This window comes from Homo sapiens, chromosome 3 (assembly GCF_000001405.40).
Source record: "Homo sapiens chromosome 3, GRCh38.p14 Primary Assembly".
NCBI classification, from domain to species: domain Eukaryota; kingdom Metazoa; phylum Chordata; class Mammalia; order Primates; family Hominidae; genus Homo; species Homo sapiens.
In genome coordinates, this window is record NC_000003.12 from 46,434,323 (window position 1) to 46,461,590 (window position 27,268).

The following is a 27,268-nucleotide window of genomic DNA, read 5'->3' on the forward strand; positions in this document are numbered from 1 at the left end:
AGTATTATTGTATGATGCTTTTGTCTCTTTTTTTTAAGTTAAAGCAGTTTATTAAGAAAATAAAGGAATAAAAGAATAGCACTCCATAGGCAGAGCAGCTGCCTCTGTCTCTTATATTTTCCCCTCTGCCTCAAGCCCAACATGCCCAAAATTGGGGCTGCTGGTTCAGCCTGGGTCTCAGAATAAAGACATGAGCCACAGATCCATTGCTGACCCATGATGGAGATGGACACAAGAGAGAAACACATTTTTGTCATGTTAGCCACTAAGATTTTGATTTGGAGGCCATTTGCTACAGCAATATAACCTAGCGTGAACAGAGAGACACAGCGATGTTCCATTTCTTTTCAACCTGGAACAGGAGAATTTCATAGGTGGGCCTCAATTTCACTTTAGTATCTTATTTAGACAAGAAAGTTCATACTGTTCAAATGTCATGTTTAAGAGTGCTGGCATTATCACTGCTGTGGCTACCCCATCAGATGTTGCTCACTGACTAATCTTCTCATGTTAGTGAGGATGGACAACATATCAGGCCATAATTCAAAGTAGCAAATAGGAAAAGAGCTTCATCCTAGCATTATGGGACCTTAATTAATGTCCTTTCCTGACAGGTTTCAGAGGCTTTTGCAGGCAGCAGCAGAGCTATTCATCTCACTGACAGTGGGGAACATGGCCAAATGGTTGCCCCCACAATGGAGGCAGAGTTTCAGGACACTTGTCTGATCTCTGCCCTTGAAGGAACAGTCTCACCCTGATTGACACTTTTGCCTGTTATGTCCAAAGAACCAATGGAAAAGCAGGAAAATTATTCCTTCTTCATTTCTCTCTTCATTATTTAAAATTATTCTGTCTTCACTTCTCTCTCCTTTTCTCTGCTTCCTACTTAGCTCTTTAGAAATGCAATTATAATCTTTTATCTCCCCTTCACCAGACACTCCCAACAGGGCAAGTTCATCTAACTATGTGCTCTTAGTTAGACGCTACAGAGCAGAACTCTCTCCCACCAAGAGACTACCTTGAGACATAACAGTCAATTCACAAGCCAAAATATGCCCGCTATGAAACTCTCCCATCTGGAAATTTTTTGGCTGCTTTTACAACCTAGTTTTGCCCACAAAGGCACCAGCAGTAACCAACTCAACTGCCTGGTAGACAAGGCACCAAAGCCAGTACCCAGACCCTCTACCTGCTCACTTCCTGCCTTGCATGCCACGCCCCCCATTTAAAAGCCTCTGCTTTCTGCTCCAAAGGTGAAGCAGTTACCCTTAAGGAAAGAAGCCTGTACTTCTTCCCCTAAGGTAGCTTTGGAATAAAAGTCACTTTATACCAAACCTAGCTCTTGTTAATTAGACTCTGCAAGTGATGAGCAACTGAACCTACATTTCAGTTATAATTCCTATGCTTGCTCTTCCTGCCCTGCCTTGGGGACACGCACACACTCCCAGGCACATACATGCACGTGCACTGAGACAGCTATGTGAATAACCAACAAGATCCCCTTAGGAAAACCGGTGCTTGGCCTGGCCTTAAATTCCAGACCCTTGGGCATCATACCCAAGACTGCAAGAAAGAGGAGGGGCTGGACCTGAAAAACTTGGAAGGGAAGGTCCAACTGTACAGGTATTTTGTCAGGCATGTGATTTCAGTATAAAATTCTAGAAAAGATGAGTGACACTTTATAAGGAGAGAATATCAACAAAATTTCTCATTTTACTTCTTGCTAAGACGACAGCAGGGAATTGTAAGCAGATGGATGGGCAATCCCCACCTTCAGCAGGGGAGGCCAAGGCCCCAACACACCTGGGGAGAAGAGCTGGGGGCAGTGAATGGCTGAGGCTTTCTTGGGGAGCTGGGCCATCTTCTTCGGTTTTACTTCCTGAGGAATTCACAGGCTTCCAGGAGGGCTGTGGGACACAACAGAGCAAGAGATTCAGAAACTGATTTCTTCCATTAAACCAGTTATTTAATCCAATAAATCAAAGAGAATACTAAGAGTTTTCTCTGCCCTTCTCCCATCACTGAGTCAGTGCTTGCCACACTCATATTCCCACTCCCCTACTCCTAGCGACTACGGTGTTCAAGGGAGCCAGAGTCTAGCCCTCACCAGCCAGGGTGTTTCCCTGCTCTGGCCTGAGAGACACAACCACCCTGCACTTGTCTCTGATTGAATCGACTGTCACATTCTCAAGTTCACAAGACATTGGTGGTCCTCTAGCTTCTCCCGGAATGTGAACCTGTTTGCAATCATGTTCACCTGCAGATTCACTCATTCATTCACAGATCCTTACTGAGCACCTGCTTTGTGTGAGTTGCTGTGCTAAGTGCTGGGGACACAGCATGGATAGACTGGCCTGCCCTCAAGAAGCATGTGGTCTATGCAGTCCTGAGCTGGCTGCTCACAAGAAGAGCCCTGTAGCCATATTTCTCAGAGGGTGGTCCTGACCTGCATCACAGTGACCTGAGTTGTTTGTCAATACAGAAAAGGGTTTCTCAACCTTGGCACTATTGACATTTGGGGCCTGATAATAACCCTTTATTGCAGGGGGCTGGCTGTGCTTTGTTTAGTAGCATCCCTGGCCTCTACCTATTTGTTACCAGCAGCACCCTCTATGTTGTAAGAATCAAAAAAATGCTTCTCACATTGTCAAATATCCCCTCAGGGGAAAAATTGTCTCTCATTGAAAACTACCGATAAAGACATTTCTGGCCCTGCCCCCATCCTTGGACCAACAGCATCCCTAATGCCCCCAACTCTGGGTGAGGGACCAGGAATAGGAATCTGAATGATTGCAGTGCACAGGGAGCTGTGCACACTGAAATCCCACAGTTATCACCGGGAGCCTTACAATACTCTGTGATGTCTTCTAAATATTTTTAAGGGATTAAATTAATATCAACATATTTCCCTGGTTAAGATGTGTTTTCCTACACTTGAATTTTTTTGAGATTTTGTTTTCTCTATAGTTGGCATCTATGGTAACTGTCTAGAATCAGATTTTTTTTTTTTTTTTTTGAGGAAGGGTCTTTCGGTGTCACCTAGGCTGTAGTGCAGTGGTACAATCATAGCTCACTGCAGCTTCAACCTTCTGGGATCAAGCAATCCTCCTATTTCAGCCTCTCAAGTAGCTGGGACTAGAGGTGCTTGACACCACACCAGGCTAATTTTTAAAATTATTTTTGTAGAACAAGGTCTCTCTGTGTTGGCCACATTGGTCTCAAACTCCCGGGCTCAAGCCATCCTCCCACCTCTGCTTCCCAAGGTGGTGGGATGACAGGTGTGAGCCATCACACGTGGCTGGTTTTGTCATTTCTCAATGCATATGTATATATGCACCTTTCATTTTACTGAATAAAATGGATTATCAGTTTCCAAAGATTTCATGACAGTGCCATCACTATCCGTACTATAAAATTTATAAAAATTTATTACATACTGCTCTATTTTATTCTCTAATTATTTTATCAATGAGATTATAATTTCCTGAACTGTAAAGAGATATTATCTTTCCTTAACATTTTTACACCTGTGTTCGTTCCTAGAATGCTGTTTGGCCCTCAAACCTTGACCTTCACCCATGGTGGTTTCTCGGGGATGCTAGCTAGGGTCTACTTACGGGAGGTTGAGCACTTTTTCAGATTAGTAATGCCTGCGACATACTGTGGTCCCAAATATTTTTCATATGTTGTTTTGCCATGGAGTCTGGCCAGACACTCAGTGTTGTCATTGAACAGAAGGTTTTTGGTTTCAGACTGGAATAAGCAAAACTTGTCCGGGCAGTCAGATCCATTTCTCCCAAATTTAGCCTGCGACAAAAGGGCAGACAGTGAGTAGCTAAGGAAAAGAGGAATTTATGGGTTAAAGGAGGCAAAGGGGTATTTCTTCCACCCAAGAACAGCCCTGAGAAAACCATGGGGCAGAAGGAGCTGAGTTCTGGAGTCATTCCACCTCCTTAGTGGAGTCCCCCACCCCACACTCCTGGTGGCAGGCCCGCCTTGGGCAGCATCCAGGCCTCGCACCACTTCTGGTCCTACCTCCTACCATCTGCCATCTTTCCTTCCTTCTTAACCTGTGACCTTTTCCCATACAACTTCTTATGGGTGACAAGGCAACAATGGAGGGGTTTTGAGATCTGCCCTCACAAGTCAATTGCTCAGGACATTCTAATATGCAGCTCTTCTAGAGAGGCAGGCTGCTAGGAAAACCCAGGCTCAGCCACTAACCAGCTCAGTGTGCAGGTCGGTCACCCTGCCTCCCTCACACAGTTCCTGCTCTGTCCCAGGCTCCCATGTGGGGAGACTGAGACCCAAACCCCTCAGTCACGGCAGCTCTCTCACCAGCACCACTGTGTGTGCACATTAAGAGCTCCATAAAGGCCAGTTATGGTGGCCAGTCTTGTTATTCCTGAGTTGTTTTCTTCAAAAGCACACAGAGACATGATGTTATATGATAAAAATAGAAGTTCTAATAAAATCCCAGATTTTAAGAAAATTTTGGGATTTCGTTCAAATCACATTTAGAGAGCCCTAAATCTATAGGGCACCTTCTGAGTTTGCTGTTTTAGAGGCCTGGCCTAGAGCACTGTTCACTCGGCCCAGGTTCAGGAAATGTCACCTGAGTAAAAAGCACTATACTAATGCATGTGGGAGGAAGGCTCAGTGGCTTCCTCATTTGCCAGAAGAACAGCAGGAGGGAAAAAGACAGCCTCTGAGCCAGGCAGTGATGGCAACAAGGCCAGGGCACAGAGTCTCAGCAGAAATGGAGTGAGTCCCAGAAAGCCCAGAGTCAAAAGCCTCTGTTGTTCTTGTTGACACTCTGGGCAACGCCACAGCATGAAGCCAATACTCTCACCATGAGCTTCAAGTAGAGGACTAGAGAGGATCGAGTGGGCTGGTGCACCTAGCTCTGTGATCTCCTCACCTAACATGAGCCCACACAGCTAAGAAAGCACTAGAAGCCCTGTGGTCCATACCTGTTGGTGGAGCAACACCTGTTTCAGGCGTTCCACCTTATCCATCCGAGACACCACGGCATGATTCGGGGCCATGGCAAGATGGCAGCTTCTAGCCTCAGTCACAGGCTTCCGTTTGCCATCGAGGCACAGCAGCGCAAAGTCTGCCAGCTTCAAATCCTTAGCCCATGCCTCATTGTTATTTCCTGGGGAGAAAAAGAAGGTGGCATCATCCACGCCTCCCCTGCTTAGCCAAGAAGTCTCTTCTGGGTGGGTGTGGCCATTCCACTGACCTCCCAAATGCACACACTGGGGTTGTGGTGATGTGAGGAACAGAGAAGGAGCTTCATCCTACACAAGCTGTACAAACTTCAAATATACCAAATATTAGTGCTGTGTCCATGCAATGGAATGTTATTCAGCAATAAAAGGGAGTGAAGTTCTGGTACATCCTGCAATATGCATGAACCTCGAAAACGATGCTAAGTGAAAGAAGCCAGTCACAAAAGACCACACAATAGGCTGGGCACGGTGGCTCATGCCTGTAATCCCAGCCCTTTGGAGGCCAAGGTGGGAGAATCACTTGAAGCTAGGAGTTCATGACCAGCTTGGGCAACATAGCAAGACCTCATCTCAAAAAAAAAAACCCACCACATATTATATGACTCCATTTATATGAAATGTCCAGAATAGGCCAACCTATGGAGACAGAAAGTGGATTGATGGTTGCCAATGCTGAAGAAGGATAGGGCAATGACTGATAATAGGTGCAAGGGTTTCTTTATGGGAGGATACAAGCGTTCTAGAGTTGGATTGTGTTGATGGCTGCACAACTCTGTGAATGTGCTGGAGATCACTGAATTGTACACTTTGCATGGGTGGATTTTTTAGTATATGAATTCTACCTCAATAAAGCTGTTTAGAGTTCTTATTTTTTTAAAGAAGAAAACCCTCCACCTATGCCATATTTTTCAGTGAGTTCCAGAAAAAGAATAGATGGTTTACATTCAAGGAGAAATTGGTTTCTCCTCCCTTTCATATTCAAATGCTATTAGTGTAACCAGAGAAAGGAAAGGAACTTTTATAGGTTTATCAAATATATACAGCCAATTCTAACAAAATACAGTTGTAAAGTACCGGAGAAAGTTAAAATTAAATTTGACATCAATCTGATCCCTGGAGATTACTTCAGTTAATGGCTTGTAAATTCTAAATGTAATTGTATGCATGTCTATGTTTGTGCAGATGCCGGCTCATTGTTCCGGCTCCCGTTTGTCTCTCTGCTCTCTCCCTTTAAGAAAGCACTTTATTCATTCTCTTGGATTCCTCTATTTGATATTGAAATAATTTCAAATTTACATGTCTTGTTTTAATCTCTGTCCCAAGAGACACTAGAAGGAGCAGAAGCAGAAGGGAGAAGTGGCTGAGACTGCAGTGATTACTGAAGGAGGGAGGCCGAAAGTGGAGACAGTTCTTTCTCAGGAAACAGAATAGCAAGTCACCTGCTGAGACTTGGGGGTTGGAATGCTGAAGTGGGGCTAAGGAGACAGATGCAGATTGGAAGGTAGCAAATGGCTGAGGACCAGGAGAGAGAGTGATTGTTCAAACATTGGCTGGAAGATTATCTTCCATCATCTGCAACCACCTGTAATTTTGTTCCCACTAACTCCCAAGGAGTCTCCAGACCAAGGCTCACATGGGGATGAATGAAGGCCTCTACTTCCTTTTTCATAAAGGGAGGCTTCATTTGCATATGTTCACCCAGTTTGTAGCATCATCCACAGTTTCCAATAGGCATGCATGATCTCATGTGGGCAGACAGTGTGTTTCTGTGGTTGACTAGAGGAAGCCAGGGAGACATTTGCTACTGAGCATGGCTAGTATCTGTGTGTGTGAGAGTGAGTGTGTGTGTGTGTGTGAGAGAAAGAGAGAGAGTGTGTGTGTATGAATTTCGTTTCAAAATCCATATGACACCTACAGATGTTATCATGTTGTCTATTGAGATAAAGAATTTTGGAGTTCTTTTAATCACAAATATGGAAAATGTTATAAAACCTTCCCAAAGGCAAATCTGAACACTAAGATGTGTTGTGATGCCAAAGACTCTGCTTTGAAGGAGAAAAGGAAACACCTTCACCTACCATCAGTGTTCTGCAAGACAGTGACATCTTTCACAAATGCAACGTCTCCAGCATTCTCAGCCAGGCACCTAAAATGTTCCAGAAAATATACACATAATTACAGAAGAGAAACTAGTGGGGCTTTCATAAATATTTGTAATATGCATTCCAAAAACTGAAATATGGAAGTAAACATCTAAAAGACAACTATTTCTAGGAATTTACTGTTTACAGCGGCAGATTGAACACAGGTGTACCTGCCCTCCTTTTAAAACCCTATATAAAAGACATTACAAAACCAAGAAATCTAAAGATATGCGACCCAGGAAACAGGCAATCTAACATGAAGTAAGACAAAGGAAAGCACCAAAATAATGGTCAACAGGACCCCCAGGACCACAGATGTGCAGGCGGCCTACACAGCAACCAGTCCAAACTGCAGCAGGAAGATGGATGCCTTCTGGAGCAGCACTTCCAAGTAAATGATGAAACTGTGATAGCACCCAGAGAGAGAGAGAGAGAGAGAGAGAGAGAGAGAGAGTGTGTGTGTGTGTGTGTGTGTGTGTGTGTGTGTGTGTGTGTGTGTGTGTGTGTATGCATGTTGTTAGGAGATTTACATTACTGGCAGACAGTTTGGGGATGAGATAGTGATGTGTTTTTTTAAGTGCAGAAAATTAAGCAAATAAGAAAAGACATTTATGAACTCCAGAGTAAACAAAAAGTTTGTACAATAAGGGAAATATAATATGAGAATAACGCTTACACAGTCATAAGTACTGAATATGACATTAGCGTGTTGGGTGCTGAAGAGAGTTGAAGTCTGTGGTTGTGTGGTGGAAAAGGTGCTGGGGGCAGTGTGAGAGGCTAGATCTTCTTCTATACTACAGAGTCAGCAGAAAGTTAAAAATTAAGAACCAGCATTATAAGGATGATAGAAATAAAGGGGTATGACACTGGTTTCAGCTTTTAATGATTTTGCTATAAATTTCCCCAATCTAGATTCTAGATATAATTTAAACAAAAGACAAGGGATTTTCTTCCAGTATAATTAGGAATATTAAAATGTGGGTGTTTCCAGTGAACTAATACCTTGCTGCAGGTCTGAAAAAAAAAAAAAGAGGAGCACATGCTTCTTTCGGGCTCTTATGAGACATGTGTTCAGCATTTCTGAGTAGAATCACATTTCCATTTGCAAATCCTTAGTCCCTTAAAGATATTTTTATACATTCACAAAACATTTTTTTTTGTTTTGGGTCTTTTTTTATGAGCCACTTATATAGCAAAAGCTACTTTTCTGTCATTCCATTACTGGAACAAGGCTGTTGAATTTATATTAAAAAGTTCAGACACCCTCAGACACATGACGCCATCTGGTCGTGAAATGTACTCTTGGCAAATGGAGGAAAAGGAACAGGGGAAGATCCTCTCTGCACCCTTCACACTGGTAAATAGTGCCCCTGAGAAGCAACACCCGGATGAATGGTGCTGTAAAACGTGGGGTGTGGTTACAAGTCACTAAGTGGTTATAACTTATGAATTCTGAAAACTTGTTTTTTGGCTTATTTTTCACTTCGTTACTGGAGAATAACACTGCAATTCTGCCATCTCTTTGCCATTTCTAAGGCCAAAGTCAGAGAAAAAGGGAAACCTAAGCCATAGTCATGACCTAGGTGAGAAGAAAAGGGGCGGCGATGGGAAAGAGAATTCTTCCCCATAAATGGAATTGTAGGAAGCACTTAGGATACCACACTCTACCCATTTGATTTTCAGGACGAGGCTATTGAGGCCTACTGCTGTTGATCTTGGCTCAAAGCCACAGGGAGAAGCACTGCGGAGCTGAGGTCAGACAGCCCTGGTGCCAGCCTCCACTCTCTGGGGCGGTGGGTGTGGTGGGGACAGCCCTCACTGGGGCCACCCATGAGCTGACCCACAGGATGACCCCCACTCTGCTGTGACAGGTCACATCTGGCTCCTTAGAACTGCAATGCTGACATGCTGAGGGATGAGGTAAGTCCCCATCCTGATGGAGCTCAGTCACAGACTCACCGGAAAGCCCCAGTGTAGCCGTAGTATCTCTCGTTGCTGTTGGGCACGCACTTATTCTCACCCTGCTCGTCGCCAATACACAGAGCACAGAGATTAGATCTCGGGTCAGACCCAGGGGCACAGCTTTGACTGAAATATTCATCTGGAGAGAAGGAACACGGGGAGTCAGCTCTTCAAACCTGAGTCCACACAAGCAACCTTTACCTAACAGCCGATGCAGGGTGGTTTCAGTTCATTAGACTTCCCAGGACAGCAATCTAGATAGAACACACTCACCATCACAAAGCAACATGTTGTCACCAACATAGGACCCACCAGAAAAGCTTCATTCAGACTGTAGGCACAGATGGACACCCAACTAAGGCTGGGGATGAGAGCTGTGGCTGCCTGGAGGGTCCCGTCATCACAGCCTTGAGCTGGGGACTCAGCTCATGACCGTGATGGCTGTGTGCAGCAGAGCCTGTGAGTTGCCTAGTCCAGGATCTGATTTTGTTTTTATCAGTAATGGAAACCCTGCTTTGTATCTGGGTGCTTGGCCCTTTGGTATAAAGACTAGACTTATCAGACTCCCTGGGGCTCATATGGCCATATGGGTAGCTATAGGCCAGTGAAATATCAGCAGGAGTGTTGGGCGCCAGCTTCTCAGAAACATCCTTGAAAGACAATTGGTACATGCCTTTTGCCCTTTCTTCTCCTTCTCTTTCTTCATCCTGCACATAGAATGCAGAAGCAGGGACTGGACTTAGAGATGCAATGTGGGCCATGAGGTGACCTTGAGCATGAAAGCCACACAAATGGCAGAGTAGCCAAATGATTAAAGCCCAGGTTCCAGACCCCATATTGTCTTCATACCAGCCCTAGGCAAACCACCTCTGGACTACATGACACAGAAATTAACTTCTGTCTTGTTTAAGCCTCTACTATTTCAGGAGTTTTCTGTTCCTTGCAGCTGAACCTGATCTGAATTCGTTCATTGTGTGATTTAACCCAAGAAAGAATAAACAAAGGTGACAAGAAAGCTCTGCCCCACTGAGCAAACGTCACCCATTATCAGACTCCCACTGCTGCTGGAAGAGCCACACTATGTGTCAACCTCAGGAAAAGCTGGGAGTTCCCATTCCATCCTGGCAGTTTCCCTACAGCTCAGAGGCTGCCATGGAGCTGGTGAGGAGCAGAGCCACGTGAAAGCTGCCTGCCCCGGCCAGGATCAAAAACCCATGCAGTGGAGCCCCTGCCCTAGGAGACGCCCATACAAGAAGGGAGTCACATTGAGGATGTGCTACACACCATGCCACGGGGCCCACAGCAGGCAGGGTGTGGCTGATGCTGACTAGGATGAGTGTGGGGTGTGGTGGGGAGAGAAAACTGCAGAAGCAGGTGGAGCCAGGCTCTTGAGGTCTTATTCAGGCTCCGTTGCAGTGTAGAGTAAGCGTCAGTTTTGCTTAGTAACAGGAGTCACCTTTCATGAGGCAGGCAGACATCTTTCCCCAAGCTGGGAAGCCAGAGTTTAAGAGGAATTTAGGTCTGGAGCTCCAAGAGGTAAAAAGCATTTGCACATCTTGGAACTTGCATTTATTCTTAGGGTGCAGCGAAATAGGCAGATATTCCAATCTTTAATCTTGGGGTGGGGTGAATGGGGCATGGGAAGTGCTGTGCAGGGAAACCCCCAGTGCACCCACGCCTCCAGGGGGCAGCCACAGGGAGAATTTCCTTATGCTGGAAGAGGCCTGCAGGCCACTATCAGCCTGCAAATCCCCTCCCCTCCCTTCCCTAAGGTTCCACAGCACAATATGCCTACCCTCCAGGGTGGCCCACCCACCGCACCTTTGGAACTCCTTACCAAATTTGCAGGAGCCCGTCTGGTTGAAGAGCAGGCCCATGGGGATATTCCAGCCTGCAGTCCTGTCCACGGCGGTGTGGCAGGACTTCTTGCCTTTCACAGAGTTCCAGGTAAGGCTAGTGTCTGATCTCCTAACCACCGCCACAGCAAGATATCCTGGCATAACAGATGACAGAAAAACAAGTCTTAACCTCCAGGAGGCCTGGCACATGGATTCCAGTGGAGCTGTCTACAGCCCAGGCCAAAACAGGCCAAGAAGCAACACCAGGCAATGATTCCCTCAAAGAACTGGCCTTTTTAGGTAGACCGAGAAAGCATAAGCTGCTGCCTTATGTTAAGGTGAGATTGATGAAATAAAACAGTAAGAAAAGCTGATTATTTTAGTGATTACAGGGGACTGTCTTCAACCAGCCACACAATGTCCCTGAGTTACAAACCAGCAATGCATCTCTCAGTGTAAGCTTCTACAGCAACAAACACTATAAACAACAAGAGAGACCCCAACAGTGCATAAATCACCAACCACAGTGTGCATCAGGCAAGAGCACCAACATCCAGCCAGCTAACGGCTGTGTGGGTACAGGGGCACATGTCCCCAGGGACTGCCCTGAGCTGAGTCTGAACCCACCCTGCACTGGTTGAACTCAACATGGTTGCCGTTGTCCTCCTGAGAGAATGCATCTGACAGACACCCACCAAGGGCAAGTCTTTTCTGAAACTGAGCAAGCACCAGCTCTGGTGGGCAGGAGGAGTGGTGCACAGAGCACTGGGACACGAGTCCCAGGTCACGAGGACCCGGGGTCAAGACCAGGATCTACCACAGTATTACCTATGGCTGTGAGTGAGATCCTGGGCACTTGGGGACTCTCGGTGCCACTGTTTCCTCATCCCCATGAGGTGGGGAAGTAGCACCCCCCATTCCATGACCATGACAAAATGAGGGACTATATGGATGTTCTTTGCCAAGTGTGAAGGTCAATATAAACATTAATTAGAACTATTCCTCTGTGAATTATTTGCACCCTTAAAATTATTGCTCCTAGAAGCCCTATAGCTTCTAGGGCTGCAATTCTTTCTGTTTTTTTTACAGTTCCTGCCACTTCCTCTTCCAGCAACAAGAACTTATCCTTGACCCTGAAAGTGGCTAATGCCAACTCACCTTCCACAGGTCTATCCACACAGTTAGGATCAGGGTCACTGCTTTGTTGGGATTCTGAAAGAATAAAGACAAGCCAGACATCATTATCCATTCAGATGTAGTGAGAAGCCACAAACTCTTAAATCTCAATGATGCAGAATCAAATCCAAAGAGACCGTCCCAGCAGTTCCATGCAGGAGAAATGCGTCTATATGTTCAACAAAAGACATGGCACAGAGATTCACAGCTGCATTATTCACCACAGCCACCAACTGGAAACTACTCAAATGCCCATCCACACTCAAATGATGAATAATCACAGTAGACTCACACAGCGACGAGACTGAACAGTCTACAACTACACACTTAGGTGGATGAAAAGCATAACGATGAGCAAGAGAAACCAGACATAAAAAAACACATGCTGTGTAATTCCTTTAACATGAAGTTTAAAACATAGGCAAACTTAGATCTGCGACCTTAGAAGCCAGGAGAGAGGCTTCCCTTGCAGGAGTAAGGGGGCGGGGGACAGGAGGACATAAGGGGCTTCTGAAACTTGCAGTGTTTGTTCTGGGCCCGAGAGCATGGACTGTACAGTGTGTGAAGTGCCATGAGTTGTACATTTATGTGCACTTTTCTGTTTGTATGTTATAATTCACTGAGATCTTCTGGAAAATTAAGAAGATAAAACCAACCTGTCCCTTGTTAATTCTCAACACAATAGGCTTTGTGGGTAACACGGCCCCTTTCATTTCTTCTTTCCCTGATTCTCCCTTTTGAATGTATCTGTTCATCATAATGTTTCACCTGCATTCACCGAATGGGATTACTCATAGCCCCACTCCCATGACCCAGAGGGAATATACCAGAGGATGCTAACTCCACTTACTGTAGTTCTCTGCCAGGACAGGCACCAAACCACATTTGCCTGCAGTGTACACATATCCTCCATCCAAACTCATGGCATCAGCTTCTCCTTTCTGCAAAGACAGAGCAGATCTCCAGCACCACAGTGAGGCTGCATCCCGTCCTGCCTGTCTATATAGCTCTCTGAGAGAATGGTTTTCTGTCAGGTGACCAGTGAAACAGCAGAAAGAGATGGACTATTCAAACTGAGCAGCCAGAGGAAACACCGTGTGCACCACTAATTCTCTCCCAGCCCTGCCTACTTTCTGGGCTGTCAATTCAACTGGAAAGACCAGGCACAGGTTGCACTAATCCTCTGTCCTCTGAGCAAAACCTTTTCTGTGTCCCTGGCACTTTGGGGACACCTTCCTGGAGCAGTCTCACTGACTGAGGACACAGATGGGAACAGCTGGCCTCATCTAATCTGAACTCATTAGCACTCCACTCCAAGCGCTACACAGAAGTTGTCCAACACATAAGCTGAAGTCGTCATATTGGCCCACCACCAGAATGAACAAGTCCAGGCTACAACACAGGATCATGGACTCATCAGTAGTATGAAACTTCCTCTTTGACCCAGTAATATTTTTACAACTATATTAAAAATAGAGAAGTGGACAAAGATTTCTACTCAAGAATGCTCACCACAGGGTTATTGATAATAGCAAAGTAAGGGACAAAGAGGAATGGGGGCATGACTAAACTGAGCCATATTCACATAAAAGATATCCTGGAAGCATGTTTAAAAAATGTTTTCGTCCGAGTGCTGTGGCTCACACCCGTAATCCCAGCACTTTGGGAGGCCGAAGCAGGAAGATTGCTTGAGCCCAGGAGTTCGAGACGAGCCTGGGCAACAAAGCGAGACCCTGTCGCTACAATAATAATAATAATAATTATGCAGGTGTGGTGGCGTATGCCTGTAGCCCCAGCTACTTGGGAAGCTGAGATGGGAGGATCACTTGAGCCCAAGAGTTCCAGGCTGCAGTGAGATGTGGTCGCACCACTGCACTCCAGCCTGGGTGACAGATCAAGAATCTGTCTCTTAAAAAAAAAAAAATTAATGCTTTCCAAGAGTAAATATTCATGTGGAAGAATGCCCATTATACGCTGTTTAGTGAAAAGGGCTTAAAAACGACATACTGCAACACTTCATTATTGTTGCATGCATATCTGCAGATGTGCAGAGAAATACTGGAATGGAGAATTAGCCAGACTTTAACCATGTCTGTCCCTCTGTGTGAGATCACAGGTGGTTTGGGGGGTTTGTTGTTGTTTTGTTTTAACATAATACCTTTCCATATTTTCCAAATTCCTTATAATAATCCTGAGTTGTTCTTATAACCAGAGGAGTGGGAAACCCACAGTAAACTGCTTTTTGAAACTAAAATGCTTTCTGGCCCTGAGCACACCTCTCCAGGCATCCCTGCCTCACCCAGGCCCCCGTGGCCTCTTTGACTGTTGACTTCACTTTAAGCAGATGCCCAGGCCCTAGGTCTTCCACCGGGCCCACCGCCCGCCCCTGTGATGGAGCTCCCTACCAGCACCAGGGCGATGCAGTCCTCTGTGGTGGAGGCCGAGGAGCAGGTCACGCTGCCTTCGCTCAAGCCACTCCACTGGTTACACTTGCGCAGCTCCTGCTCGCCCACCGCACACCACACGACCCGCGCACGCCGGGCAGCCACTTCCTCCTCACCTGCCAGAGGGAAGACCGCAGGTGGCTGGGCAACCTGAGCTTTGCCAGGTTGTCCAACCTCCCCAGAGCCAGGGTCCTGCCCAGACTCTCCCTGGAACAGGAGCTACAGTACATGTGTGGACATGTGGACCCATACCCTCTCCTCCTCCACTTCTCAGCTCCAAGCCCCTTCTTCAGGTCCACAGAGCTCCCTGTGTTTCCCACTTCTGTTCCTTTGGAGAAGTTCCCTGGCTTCTAATCTATCCATTAATCTTTAGAGTCAGGAGGCGCCTATTGTCTCTGTCTCTGAGGATAAACGCTCCATGACCCAGAGACCAGTGACAGTCCCAAGAGATGGCCTAGGGGACCTTGAGCCCAACCCTGACTTCCCCTAACGCCTGCAATCACCACCAATAACTACGGTGCAGCCTCTGGGTTCCCCCAGACTCCCACCCCCAGCCCCCCAGTAGAGAAGGAGCCATAGCTGAGTTCCCCCACCATGGTGTCCCCAACTAAGTTCAAGGTCTGGGCCTGGGAAGTGTGGGTAAATCCAGGCCCCCGGATTCATCCAGGAGGGGTCCTGGCTATCTTTGTTCATGTTCATGTTTCTCACTTAATAGGAGGCAAACTGATTTTTCTGCCAGGCCTGGGGAGCCTGACGTGCACTGATCAGGTGGCCAGACTATTCTTTTAGAGACACCTGACCTAATCCACAGAAGACACTCACACCTGCATCAAACCTCCACGATGACCCCACAGTGTCTGGGAAAAGGAGTGACCGCCACAAAGTAGGGCCACCTGCTGGGAAGTAGAAGACCACACCAGGCGGACCTCAGGACCCTCCTGGGCTCACTCACTTTTCCTCAAGTTCTGGATGGCAGTGAAGTAGCCGGAGCCAAGGTACAGCCCAGAATCTATCCTCGGGGGCACCCTCGAAAACCCAATGGCAGAGTCCTTGAACAGCAGATCTTTCTGCCCACTAGGGGAGCCAAAGAGCTGGAATTTCGGTGACTTGTCCTTTCCAAACTTTTCCTAATTAAGAAAAAATAGAATTATGGTGTCAATGGTAAATAGGGAGGAAACAAAAAAATGATGTTAAAAAAGAGTATCTGGAGCTTTGGGATCATTCTAACTGAGAGCAGGAGCCTCGGTTGAGACCCTCCTGCAGAGGGACTTGTGCCATCTCGGAGACCCAAGCTCAGCTATGGCTCATTCTTTGAAGAGTTGCTGAGGTCCAAGCACCTTAGGGCCCTGAGAAGATTGCATCGACCACCCCCTGCTTCTGCTCCCATCATAAGACGCTGTCAGCCCGTGTGACAGAAGAGTTTCATTGCTTCTGCTGTCCACAGTACAGCCTGGGCAAGCAGCCCAATGCATTAGTGTGCTATCCTGCAGCAAAGCTACAGGACTTCTGGAGTGGCAGAAGTCAGGGAAGTAAGAAACCTTGCTCCCTGCCCCCCATATCCAAGCAAGTGGGGAGGACCGTGGGTGAAGATACCTGTGCCTGGCGGAGAAGATTCCAGATGGCATCCTCCTTGCCATTCACACTTCGTGCCACAACGGCATGAGAAGGGACCCGGGCCAGATGGCAGTCTTTGAACTTGTCCACTGGCTTCCGAGTGTTGTCTGGGCAGAGTAACTCATACTCGTCCCTTTCAGCCTCGTCTGACAGGTCCTCTGCAGGGAAGGTGAGGTGGGAGGGAGTCTAGATAAGCCGACTCCAGCAGTAACCTCGAGCTATAGTTCCCCTTCTCCCTATAGAATTTTGAGCTTGGGGAGATAGCTGACAAAACTGAGGGTCAGAAAGGCAGGGGTTTGCTCCAGAACACTCAGAAAGGTAAAGGTAGTGCCCCAAAAGCCTCAGGGGGCAGCCGAGGTGTGATCCTCATCCTAAATCACTTAGGCCACCCTGGGGTTCCCGTGCAGCTGCTGCCTGGCAGGCCAGAGAGGCCAAACCAGACCCGTCTGTTTCTGCGGCATCTCTGCCTGGAAAAGTCACTTTGCAGAGACAAGCTCAGGGGGCCACCAAGGGTTGCTCCCTTACTCACATCTCTGGGAAGAATAAAAATGACAAAAATGTTAACAAGGCAGGGAATAAGGCAGGAAGGTGAGACACTTTCCAACACTGAGTATATCAAAAGAAGGGGAAGAATGGTTTTATGAATGAGTTCAGGCAAATGTGGAATATCATATATAAGTTGCTTCAGAATGTGTAAAGTGAAAAAAATCTTGCCCGAGTCATTTTATGAGATTAGTACAACCTTGATGTCAAAATCAGAAAAAGTATAGGAGGGAAGAATTAAAAGTTTATTTTACTTACGAACATAAATGCAAAATTTGTAAATAACGTACTAACTAACTCAATCTCACAGAGTATTTAAAAAGCTAATAGATTGGAATGAAGGTTTACCAGTGTATTCCATTAACAAAAGAATGGCTGAACATCAAAAAAACTAAAGTAATCTGCATTTAATGGCAGAAAACCATGAGATCGTCTTCATCTTAATAGATGCAGAACGATTGTTTATGTGTTCAACATCTATTTGTGTGTGGTTTTTTTTTCAGCCTCAGAAAAATAGTAATAGATAGAATCGGTAAAGTTTTTTTGTTTGTTTTGAGACGGAGTCTCACTCTGTTGCCCAGCCTGGAATGCAGTGGTGCGATCTCAGCTCACTGCATCCTCCATCTCCTGGAGTCAAGAGATTCTCTTGCCTCAGCCTCCCAAGTAGCTGGGACCACAAGCGCACGCCACCAGGCCCAGCTAATTTTTGTATTTTTAATAGAGATGGGGTTTCACCATGTTGGCCAGGCTGGTCTCGAACTCCTGACCTCATGTGATCCACCCGCCTCAGTCTCCCAAAGTGCTGGGATTACAGGGGTGAGACACCACGCCTGGCCATAAGTTATTGGCTTGATAAATGCCATTAATCTACAGCAAAAACCTTACTAAAAGAAGAAAATGTAGACATTCACCGCAAAATCAGGAACAAGGCAAGGATGCCCACTGTTACAATGCCAGCACAATTCTAGATATCCAGATCACACAATTTACAAAAGAAATGTGAGATATAAACACTGGAAGGAAAAAGACACACTCTTATTTAAAAAGATGATATCGTCATCTACAAAAAACCAATGAAACCAACAGAAACTAATAAAACTACTCAGAGGAGTAACAAGTTATAAGAGCAACCTACAAAAATCAGATGTTATCCTCATTAACAATAACCAAATAGAAACCAATATGGACTATAAGATGTTACAATAGCAACTAAAACCATTAAGTAGCTAATAATTAGCCTCCCACAAAGACACATCAGACCCACAAAGGAAAAATTTTAGTTCTATCAAAGAAACTAAAAAGAGGTGTGATCAAATGGGGGAGATTTAGCATCACCATGGACTGGACAACTTAATGTTATAAATATGCTGATTTTTCATGGAACAATTTAAATTCAGTACAATTCGAATCAAAATTAAAGTATGATTTTTTCCAGAAATTCAACAAAATAATTCTGAAGTTTTAGCTGAGTATATTTGAAAAGGAATAATAAAGTGAGAGGGGAGAGGGAGCTCTCTCTCATTCTCTCTCTCTTCCTCTCACTGGCTCTCTCTCTTTCTCTCCACCAGATAGTAAGACCCATTGGTAAGCCACAGTAACAAAAGCAGAAAAAATGCAAATACACCAATGAAATAAAATAGCTCAGAAACTGGTCCACTTGGATATATACAAACTTGGTGTAGAATTGGCTTCACATATGGCAGAAAAAATATACTTTTTTTATTGTAAGGTAAATTGCCTCACTGTAAAGGGGATAAAATGCTAAAGCCAAATCTATATCTGACTTTCTAGGTAGAGCACATATAAATAGATGAGGAAGGGGATCTTCAAATCTTATTTTAGGAAATAATTATGATTTGGGTGTGAAGAAGGGCATCTTTGAAATATCTCAAAACTACAAACCAACAAGGTGAGGCTTGTGGATTTGACCTTATCAATATCAAGGATTTTTGATCAACAGAGACTACCGTTGTCAGATTTTTGACTGAGAAGAGGTTTTACTAAAGTTTAAAATCAGCAATAGTTTGATACCTAGATAGAAGGAACTTCTGTCCTTGAATCAAAATCATGCAGAAACAAGGTGTGAAACTCAATTTAAAAAGTAGTCAAATGTCACAAAATAAGAAAGGGAAGCCCAAACGGCTAGCAAATATGTTGAAATGATCAAACTCACCAGCTGTCAGAGAAATGAAAATTAAAAATAAAACGAACTATCTATTGCATTACAACCATCATTCGGACAAAAAGTATGAAAGTCAAAAATACTTCTAACTGAAGTTGTGGGGAAATTAGAACACTTGCAGAGTGTCATTCCAGACAGCAGCTTGGTGATCCTGGGTGCATGTGGGGTCTGTCTCTGGTGGCCCTGGGTGCATGTGGAGGTCTGTTTCTGGTGGCCTCTGATGAATGCGGGGTCTGTCTCTGATGGTCCTAGGTGAATGTGGGTGTTGTCTCTTTCTCTGGTGGTCCTGGGTGGATGTGGGGTGTGTCTCTGATGGTCCTGAGTGAATGTGGGTGTCTGTCACTTTCTCTAGTGGCCCTGGGTGGAATATAGTAGCCCTGTCTCTATTGGTCTTGCATGAAATGTAGTGAGCTTATGTCCACTAGTCCTGGGTGCAGTGTGTTTAGCCTCTACATACTCATCAACTGCTTTATTATAAGTCCAGGAGGGACGCTGTCCAGCACGTAAGTAAGGAACACAGGTGAAGGTATCAGTCGTGTGGCTGCATGTGGTAGAGGAAAAGAGAGCACAACCTCTGTCCATCACTATGGTGACAGAGAAGTAAAAGGTGGATGTATTCCACGGAACACTCCTCAACTGTTAGGACCCCTGAGCTAGACATGTATACAACAATACCGATAAACCTCTAAAACAAAATGCTGAGCAGAAAACCCAAGTAGCAGGATTTCTAATGCTCACTAAAACCTCTATGAACCCAGAAACCGGAAACACAAACCAGCACAATCTGTTCTGCATGAGCACATGTGTCTTGGAGGACTGGAGGACGCATTGCCAAGCACCTAGGCATGGGTGTCTATGAGGGGAAGAGAAAGGCAGTAGGCACAGGAGGTTTGAAGAAAACTGATCATTTAAAATATGAAAGATCATAAAATCAGAGCTGTGCCCTGTAGGAATCTTGAAAATGGTCTGCCATGAACTTAGGAATCTAATTAGCTCAAAGGTCAGAGTCATGATCAAGTAAGATAAAAGGGGTCAGTACCCACGGCTCATTACCCTGCTCTTACCAAACACTGTGCTCTCTCTGATAAAAGCCACGTCTCCAGCCCCGTCTCTCAGACACCTGTGAAAAGAGAAACCATCAGGGGTAAGCACAGGCAGCCCTCCCCAGCCCCTCCCTGTGGAACAGTAGCCCTGGCACTCAGCATCTATGGGTTTCTACTCCCTGCAGGGCAGGGCTCTGAAGCTTTGGGGCATCCCAGCTGGGAAGGTAGGGGCCCCCTCCAGGTAGATACTGAAGAATGACTCAGGTGCTAGCCAGAGGCCCCCATCTTCTGCTTTGAGGGCTAAGAGGACAAAACTTTTTTCTATATAAAGGAGAGTTTTGAAGCCTCTACCCAAGAGGGTAAAGCCTTAGCATCACTGTTCATGTGGCTGTTTTCCTCAGGACTGAGTGTGCAGGTGTGCCCTGGCCAGTGGGGAAGTGTGGAGGCCTCCCTCTGCAAAAATACGCTAGTGCCAGCAGACAGAATGGGAAAAGGGGGAGCTCAGCCTCCGCGTGGGGGCAGAGAGGATGGGGGCGAATCAGGCATTGCTCACTGTCCTTCAGCCACGGGGAGAGGCCCAGGTGGGCAGAAGGACATCAGCCTGGACACTGCAGCGGTCCTGCCCAACCAGGAGCCAGGACTGGACATCTCATGACAAGATGCCTTCAGTCCTGCTGTGGTTAGGCAGGCGGCAGAAATTAGTATGAGGAACCCAGGACAACAGGGCAGCCAAGTTGGATTCAGGGCTCTCTGAGGTAACAGGAGGGCCCACAGCCACAGTGACTGCCCGTGGGGCTGGTGAGAAGTTGGGGGCACAGTTGGGCCCGGAAGGCTGGAGGGGAACACACACTGGGCAGGCCTGCACTCTCTTTGGACACACAGCAGTAGGAGAACAGACCTCCTCTCGTCCCCAAGAGCAGGCTGGGCTCTATGTGGGGCCAGAGAAAAGGCCTCCCGGCCTGAGGCCAAGGGACACTTGGCCACTGACGAGAAGGGGACAGGGTCACTCACTTGAAGGCACCAGAGTAGCTGAAGTACGGTTCCTGGGAGGAGAAGGCACATTTGTTTTCCCCTGTCCCCGCACACAGGCGACACAGGTTGGGGAACTGTCCTTTATCTGCACCGGGAACACAGCTGGCTGAGAAGAACCTGGCCACAGCTGTTAAACACAGAGAAGTGGACCACAGAGTGTGAGCCAGCCCTGGTCACAGCAGGTTACACCTCCCATCCTGAGGTCTCCGTGGGCAAGGCCCCTTCCTCCACCCCTGCAGGAGAGACTCTGTCATGGGGCTGGGAGCTCGAGACATGCACCTCTGCCGAGAGCAGACTCAGCTGTGCCTCCCAAGGGCTGCTAGGGTAACGGATCCTGCCAGCAGGATGTTACAAGCTGGCCAGCCTCACCCCCACCTTGATTCATCCCACACTTTCACCTGCATGATCTGTGTGGCCTGTGCTTACAACTGGAATAGAGCCCCCTGCCTGAGGCCACTCACTATCCCCCAGCCATCTTACCTGCCTCAATGGGCTCAGGTGGACCCGTCCAATTCAAGAATGGACGAAGTGTCCCTATAGGGACATTCCATCCAGCGGTCCTGCGAAGGCCTGTGTGGCAGGACTTCAGACCTTGCAGTTCGTTCAGCTGAAAGCTGCCGCCCTTCTTCACCACAGCCACGGCATAATAGTGAGTTCGTGGCTCTGCAAAGGGGCAGACAGAATTGAAAGTTCTTAGCCTGGACAAGAGGGACAAAAACAACCCATCCTGAAAAGTCTCCGGTGGGAAGGGGGAATGCTGTGCTGCAGTTTCCTCACAGCTCACGTGTGTCCTCCTCTCGTGGGTCAGCGTCAGGAGGAACGGCCTTCATCTGGCCCAGAGCCCAGCGACTCCATTCCCTACATGTGTGATGTGACCCAGACTCCACCTCCACATGTTCCCCCAGTCTTAATCCACACAGCTCAGGGCACAGGCTGAGGCCACCGTGGCCTCTGGGTCCCCAGGCAGAACTCACGTCTTTCGGTCCCGTAGACTTCCGCCGCTACAGGTCGCAGTTTGTAGGGGGCCAGGCCTGCCTCGTATATGAAACCACCATCAAGGGTCACAGCATCGGCCCTGTTTTCCTGAAAGTAAAGAGGCCAGACTGGCTTCAGCAGAAAACTCACCCAAACCCAGCAAGTGGGACTTCAGGACCTCAAAAAGTCTCCATGGCTGGAAGGGTCGTCAAAGGGGTCCGCTTTCCATCCTGTCCCCTCACTTCCTATGAGAGATGGTGAGAGCCAAGGACCCCTGTTTTGGGACAGTGAGCACCAGCCCTCTAAGTCCTGAGACTGGCGCCTGCCCTCTTTCTCCTCTGCCTGCCTGTGTCACTCTCCCGATCACACCCCTCACAGTCATCTATATTTGAAGTCGTTTGTTCTAGATACTTTCTATTTTTGCTCTATATTCATTTCTTTTAAGTTCTGTTTTATTGGATAGAAAATATAGTTATTAAGCTATCCTAAAATTTTCATAAGAAACCATGTTCCTCCGCTTCAGCACATTGCTTCCCACATGATTACATATTTCTTTGGTTTGCAATGTGGGATAGTTTAGTGGTCCCCAACTTTTTTGCCACCAAGGACCAGTTTCAGGGAATGTAATTTTTCCACAGACAGATGGGGAATGGTTTTGGGATGAAACCGTTCCACCTCTGATCATCAGGCATTGGATTCTCATAGGGAGTGCAACCTAGATCCCTCGCATGCACAGTTCACACTAGGGTTCACACTCCTATGAGAATCTAATGCCGCCGCTGATCTGACAGGAGGTGGAGCTCAGGCAGTCATGCTCACTGGCCCTCTGCTCACCTCCTGGTCTGAGGTCTAGTTCCTAACAGGCCATCAACCGGTACCAGTCCGTGGCCAGGTGGTGGGGACCCCTGGGATACATCATATTTTGTGGACTGCTTATTCCTCTAAAACTGGATACATTTTCTAACTTCTGCAGAGCCTTTACTGATTTTGTAGACAGCATAATGTTTTCTCATAATGTGGGTGTTCTATCGTGTATTGAATAATTTCCCCCAATGTTTAGCATTTAAGTTTATTTCTAACTGTTTCCTGTGAAGACTGTATTTTCATGAATATCTTTGTCCTCAGTGTTTTTCCTTGTGACCACTTGTGTCCTTGGGTAGGCAGCTGAGGGTGGAATCCCCCAGATGAGGAGCACGTTTCCCCCTGTGACCCGGGCTGCCGTTGCCATTCTGCTTCCAGAAGACTTATAATACCAATTCAGAATGGCGCTGACCGTGAGGACCAGCTTCACTCTTGAATCACCAGCAGGGCAGGCTATCATTCTATTAGCTGTTATTACTATAGAAAATGTGAGTACTAACAAATCGCTCAGGTCTGATTAGTAAGGGGAACATCTCACAAGTATTTTTTATTAATTATGAATTCCCTCTTACTGGTAACTCTGTTCATATCATTTTTCTTCTATGATTCTACATTTTTTCCAATTTGGGTTATTCTTTTATTTATTTATTTTTTCGAGCGGAGTCACCCAGGCTGGAGTGCAGTGGTACCATCTCAGCTCACTGCAACCTCCACCTCCCGGGTTAAAGCGATTCTCTTGCCTCAGCCTCCTGAGTAGCTGGGACTACAGGCGTGTGCCACCATGCCTGGCTAATTTTTTTTTTTTTGTATGTTTAGTAGAGATGGGGTTTCACCATCTTAGCCAGGATGGTCTTGATCTCCTGACCTCGTGATCCACCTGCCTTGACCTCCCAAAGTGCTGGGATTACAGATGTGAGCCACCACGCCCGGCCTTGAGTTATTCTTTTATAGAGTGTAAATAGTAATCATGTGTCAGAGCTGGCGCATATTCATTCATTCCAGTCCTTTCTAATTTTTTTATTTAAATATTTTCTATGGGCTATGAATTACATTTTCTGTATTTTAGAATATCTGTTTGTTTCGTGATTTAGATCATCATTTAAGAGATTTCTATTTCCTCTACAGTTCTGCTAGTTAACCTGCCCCCTAGTTTTTCAATAATACAAGTTTTATTTTTAACCATTTAATCTATCTCAACTTTATTTGAATGAATGGTATGTAGTACTGATTTCAAACAGGGATCTTATTTTCCGAGATCAGACGAGATCAGACGCGTTCAGCGTGGTATGGCCTTGGACAGGATCTTATTTTAAAAGGCAGATTTTGTGGCTTCTTTCACATATATTCAGATTGAGTAGGTTAGAATAGAGCCTAGGAATCTGCATTTTAAACAAGCAAGAGATGCTGGTGCTGGTTTTTTGTTTTTGTTTTTTGTTTTTTGAGATGGAGTCTCGCTCTTGTCGCCCAGGCTGGAGTGCAATAGCATGATCTTGGCTCACTGCAACCTCCCCCTCCCGGGTTCAAGTGATTCTCCTGCCTCAGCCTTGTAAGTAGCTGGGAATACAGGCATGTGCCACCACACCCAGCTAATTTTTGTATTTTTAGTAGAGGCAGGGTTTCACCATGTTGGCCATCCTGGTTTTGAACTACTGACCTCAGGTGATCCTCCCACCTCGGCCTCCAAAGTGCTGAAATTACGGGCGTGAGCCACCGCGCCCAGCCACTGGTACTGTTTGTATGCAGGTAATAGTTGTAAAATAATAGCCTAAAACATTGATTAAACTAGATTTTTCCCTAAGTGCTATTCTAATAACTCCATTGTATTTATAAGATAATCCTATGAAGTTGCCTCGGGAACTTTTATGCAAATTATTCACTCTGCTGGAGTTGAGTACACATGATTATGGCACATGGCAGGTACACAGAATATATTTGTTGAATGAATGAGTAAAAATCATTTCAGTAGATCTTACATCTCAAAAAATAAAAGGAATCAGAAATCATATACAAGTCATGATACCCTTTTCTCTCTCTCTGAAAGTGTCTTGGACAAAAGTCTTTCTAACACCCAGCACCCTGGCAGGCCCTGCCCCAGCCATGTGATGTGGCAACGGTGACCAGGACAAGCTTCTTTCTCACAGGGTTTAGAGGTCATGACTCTTTTGGAGGATTTCCCTCTCTGAGTAACTTTGCTTTTTGCTGATCCTATGTATTCATCAAATACAACTGATTACATTTCATTTTGGAACAGTTGTTATTAATGAATAACAGTTGTTATTATAGTTTATGTGGAGGCTCCAGGTTCCTCACACATGGTCTCTTGACTTAAGCTCCTTCCTTTCTGCTCTGAAAATAGCACAGTTCCCTGTGAGAGAGGACGGCTCCCCACTTCGTTGCCCAACAGGTGAAGCAGAGGAAGTAAGGAGAGCTCGTGTTCTATCTTTTTCCATTTCTCTCTCCCTTCCATTCAGCTTGGTCCCAACCAACACCCGGCATTGACTCACCGCAATGGCCTGGATACACTGGATGGGGGAGTCTCTCTTTATGCAGCTGACAGGAGGGCCACGCACTTTTCTCATATTCCTTTGCCATTGGAAGCATTTTGTGGCCTCGGGTTGGGATACGGCGCACCACTGAACACTCCTCCTACGGCCAGCCAGACACAGTCCTGGGAGAGAGGGGCCAAGGAGTAAGGATTCAACCACTGACTGAGGGCGTGACCACCGCACCCTCTGATGGAGTTTTCCAGACTCCTCCCTCTCTCTCGGCTGCCCTCCTTCCCTCTCCATTTCATGGCTATGTCCAGCCATTCTCCACAAGTGGAGGCATCTTGCTGGACTAATAGGATCTCTGCATTGGCTAGAGGTCTGTGGTTCTCAATAAATTAAAGGAGAAAGTCCCTCTAGATTATTTTCATTCCTATGACTTTGACATGTTTCCTACCACTTAAAAAATGATGGTGATCCCCCAGATCAGTTATGGAATTCTTCTACCAGCTTTGCCCACTTTGAACCTGGAAGGTAGGCAGGAAAGGAGTCATTGCTCCTGTTTTACTGATGTGGAAATTGGCTCCTAAGGAGGCTGAGTGACTCGCCACTCAGCAGTGCAGAGCCCAGCTGAGAATCCACGTCTCTCTAGATTGTTTTGTGCATAAATCTCTTCCCAGGGAATGCCAAGAGAACAGGGGAAAATATACCTGAGTCGGTTGGTAGCTGAGGTAAATGGTAAGTCAGTGTCAATGGGGACAAATCAGTTGGTTGGTGTGCCTGAGCTACCACCATTCACTCTGCACAGAAAGACTGGTGCTCCTGTTGAGCCTGCTTTTTTTGCTCAAATACTGGTTCTTCTTTTGAGCCTGCTTTTGTTGCTCAAATCCATGTAATTAGGGAGGAAGATGCATTGAATTTACTCACCTGGTTGCCTGATAAAAGGCATCCACAAAAAACCTGCAATGAACATCATACTAAAATGGTGAAAGACTGACTGCTTTCCACCTAAGATCAGGAATGATGAGAGAGTGTCCACACTCAACTCTTCTATTCAACAGTACTAGAGATTCTAGTCACAGCAATAAGGCAAGAAAAGAAATGAGACACCCATATTGGAAAGAAAGAAGTAAAACTGACTTTACTTTCAGATAACATGATCTTCTATGTAGAAAATACTGAAGAATCTACAAAGTACTATTAGAATTAATAAACAAGTACAGCCAGGCCACAGGATACAAGATCAATATACAAAAATTGATCATATTTTTGCATACAGCACAGAACAATCTAAAAATGAAATTAAGAACATAATGCTAGATAGTATAACATCAAAAAGGATTTAGTACATGACGGGTAAATGATAAGAACAGACATTTTACCAAAGAAGATATATGAATGGACAATAAGCACATGAAAAGTGCTCAATATCATTAGTCAAAAATGCAAATTGAAAATGCAACGAAATATCATTTCACAGCCACTGAACAGGTTATAATAGCTAAAACAGACAATGACACATATCGATGAGGATGTGGAGAAGTGGAAACCCTCATACATTGCTGAGAATGTAAAATGACCAGCCACTTTGTAAAACAGGTTGGCAGCTTCTCAAAATGTGAAGCACAGAGTTCCAATAGGACCCAACAATTGCACTTCTAGGCATATAGCCAGAAGAAATATTATAAGAACCTATCATACATAAATGCTTGTGCATGAATATTCATAGCAGTGTTATTTAGAATAGTAGAAAACTGGAAACAACCTAAATGTCCAATAACTGGTGAATGTACATCCATTCAATGGAATATTACTCAGCAGTGAAAAGAACTACTGGCATGCCCCACAACATGAACGAGCCTCAGTTATGCTCAGTGAAGGAAGCCAGACACAAGAGACCACATGCTGTATGATTCCATTTGAATGAAATGTCCAGAAAAGGCAAATTTATGG

General features: G+C 45.9%; 1 protein-coding gene across 4 annotated transcripts in view, besides 4 other annotated features; it reads right to left on the minus strand.

Annotated features, from left to right (window-relative positions):
• The window catches only part of LTF (lactotransferrin), a 49,590-nt gene continuing 23,644 nt past the window's right edge, over nucleotides 1,323-27,268 (minus strand). For 3 of the 4 annotated variants that reach the window (NM_001321122.2, NM_002343.6, NM_001199149.2), the window contains 16 exons: nucleotides 25,334-25,497; nucleotides 21,968-22,076; nucleotides 21,474-21,656; nucleotides 20,973-21,120; nucleotides 19,983-20,038; nucleotides 16,173-16,351; nucleotides 15,532-15,706; nucleotides 14,541-14,695; nucleotides 12,986-13,076; nucleotides 12,118-12,171; nucleotides 10,959-11,114; nucleotides 9,119-9,260; nucleotides 7,094-7,161; nucleotides 4,974-5,158; nucleotides 3,618-3,807; nucleotides 1,323-1,907 (listed from right to left, as the gene is read on the minus strand). In NM_001321122.2, the coding sequence (NP_001308051.1) occupies nucleotides 1,873-1,907; nucleotides 3,618-3,807; nucleotides 4,974-5,158; nucleotides 7,094-7,161; nucleotides 9,119-9,260; nucleotides 10,959-11,114; nucleotides 12,118-12,171; nucleotides 12,986-13,076; nucleotides 14,541-14,695; nucleotides 15,532-15,706; nucleotides 16,173-16,351; nucleotides 19,983-20,038; nucleotides 20,973-21,120; nucleotides 21,474-21,656; nucleotides 21,968-22,076; nucleotides 25,334-25,497 (2,090 nt within the window). In that variant the 3' untranslated portion in view covers nucleotides 1,323-1,872. The remainder of the gene's footprint in view (nucleotides 1,908-3,617; nucleotides 3,808-4,973; nucleotides 5,159-7,093; nucleotides 7,162-9,118; nucleotides 9,261-10,958; nucleotides 11,115-12,117; nucleotides 12,172-12,985; nucleotides 13,077-14,540; nucleotides 14,696-15,531; nucleotides 15,707-16,172; nucleotides 16,352-19,982; nucleotides 20,039-20,972; nucleotides 21,121-21,473; nucleotides 21,657-21,967; nucleotides 22,077-25,333; nucleotides 25,498-27,268) is intronic. The other variant, NM_001321121.2, reaches the window with a different exon arrangement.
• Nucleotides 8,494-8,995: an enhancer, noted in NCBI's record as "H3K4me1 hESC enhancer chr3:46484307-46484808 (GRCh37/hg19 assembly coordinates)". NCBI's record gives its function as "activates a minimal SCP1, AML or CMV promoter by ChIP-STARR-seq in primed H9 embryonic stem cells {active_cell/tissue: H9 hESC(primed)}" and the evidence as "EXISTENCE:reporter gene assay evidence [ECO:0000049][PMID:30033119]".
• Nucleotides 16,077-16,576: an enhancer, noted in NCBI's record as "H3K27ac hESC enhancer chr3:46491889-46492388 (GRCh37/hg19 assembly coordinates)". NCBI's record gives its function as "activates a minimal SCP1, AML or CMV promoter by ChIP-STARR-seq in primed H9 embryonic stem cells {active_cell/tissue: H9 hESC(primed)}" and the evidence as "EXISTENCE:reporter gene assay evidence [ECO:0000049][PMID:30033119]".
• Nucleotides 21,391-21,892: an enhancer, noted in NCBI's record as "H3K4me1 hESC enhancer chr3:46497203-46497704 (GRCh37/hg19 assembly coordinates)". NCBI's record gives its function as "activates a minimal SCP1, AML or CMV promoter by ChIP-STARR-seq in primed H9 embryonic stem cells {active_cell/tissue: H9 hESC(primed)}" and the evidence as "EXISTENCE:reporter gene assay evidence [ECO:0000049][PMID:30033119]".
• Nucleotides 21,893-22,392: an enhancer, noted in NCBI's record as "H3K4me1 hESC enhancer chr3:46497705-46498204 (GRCh37/hg19 assembly coordinates)". NCBI's record gives its function as "activates a minimal SCP1, AML or CMV promoter by ChIP-STARR-seq in naive and primed H9 embryonic stem cells {active_cell/tissue: H9 hESC(naive and primed)}" and the evidence as "EXISTENCE:reporter gene assay evidence [ECO:0000049][PMID:30033119]".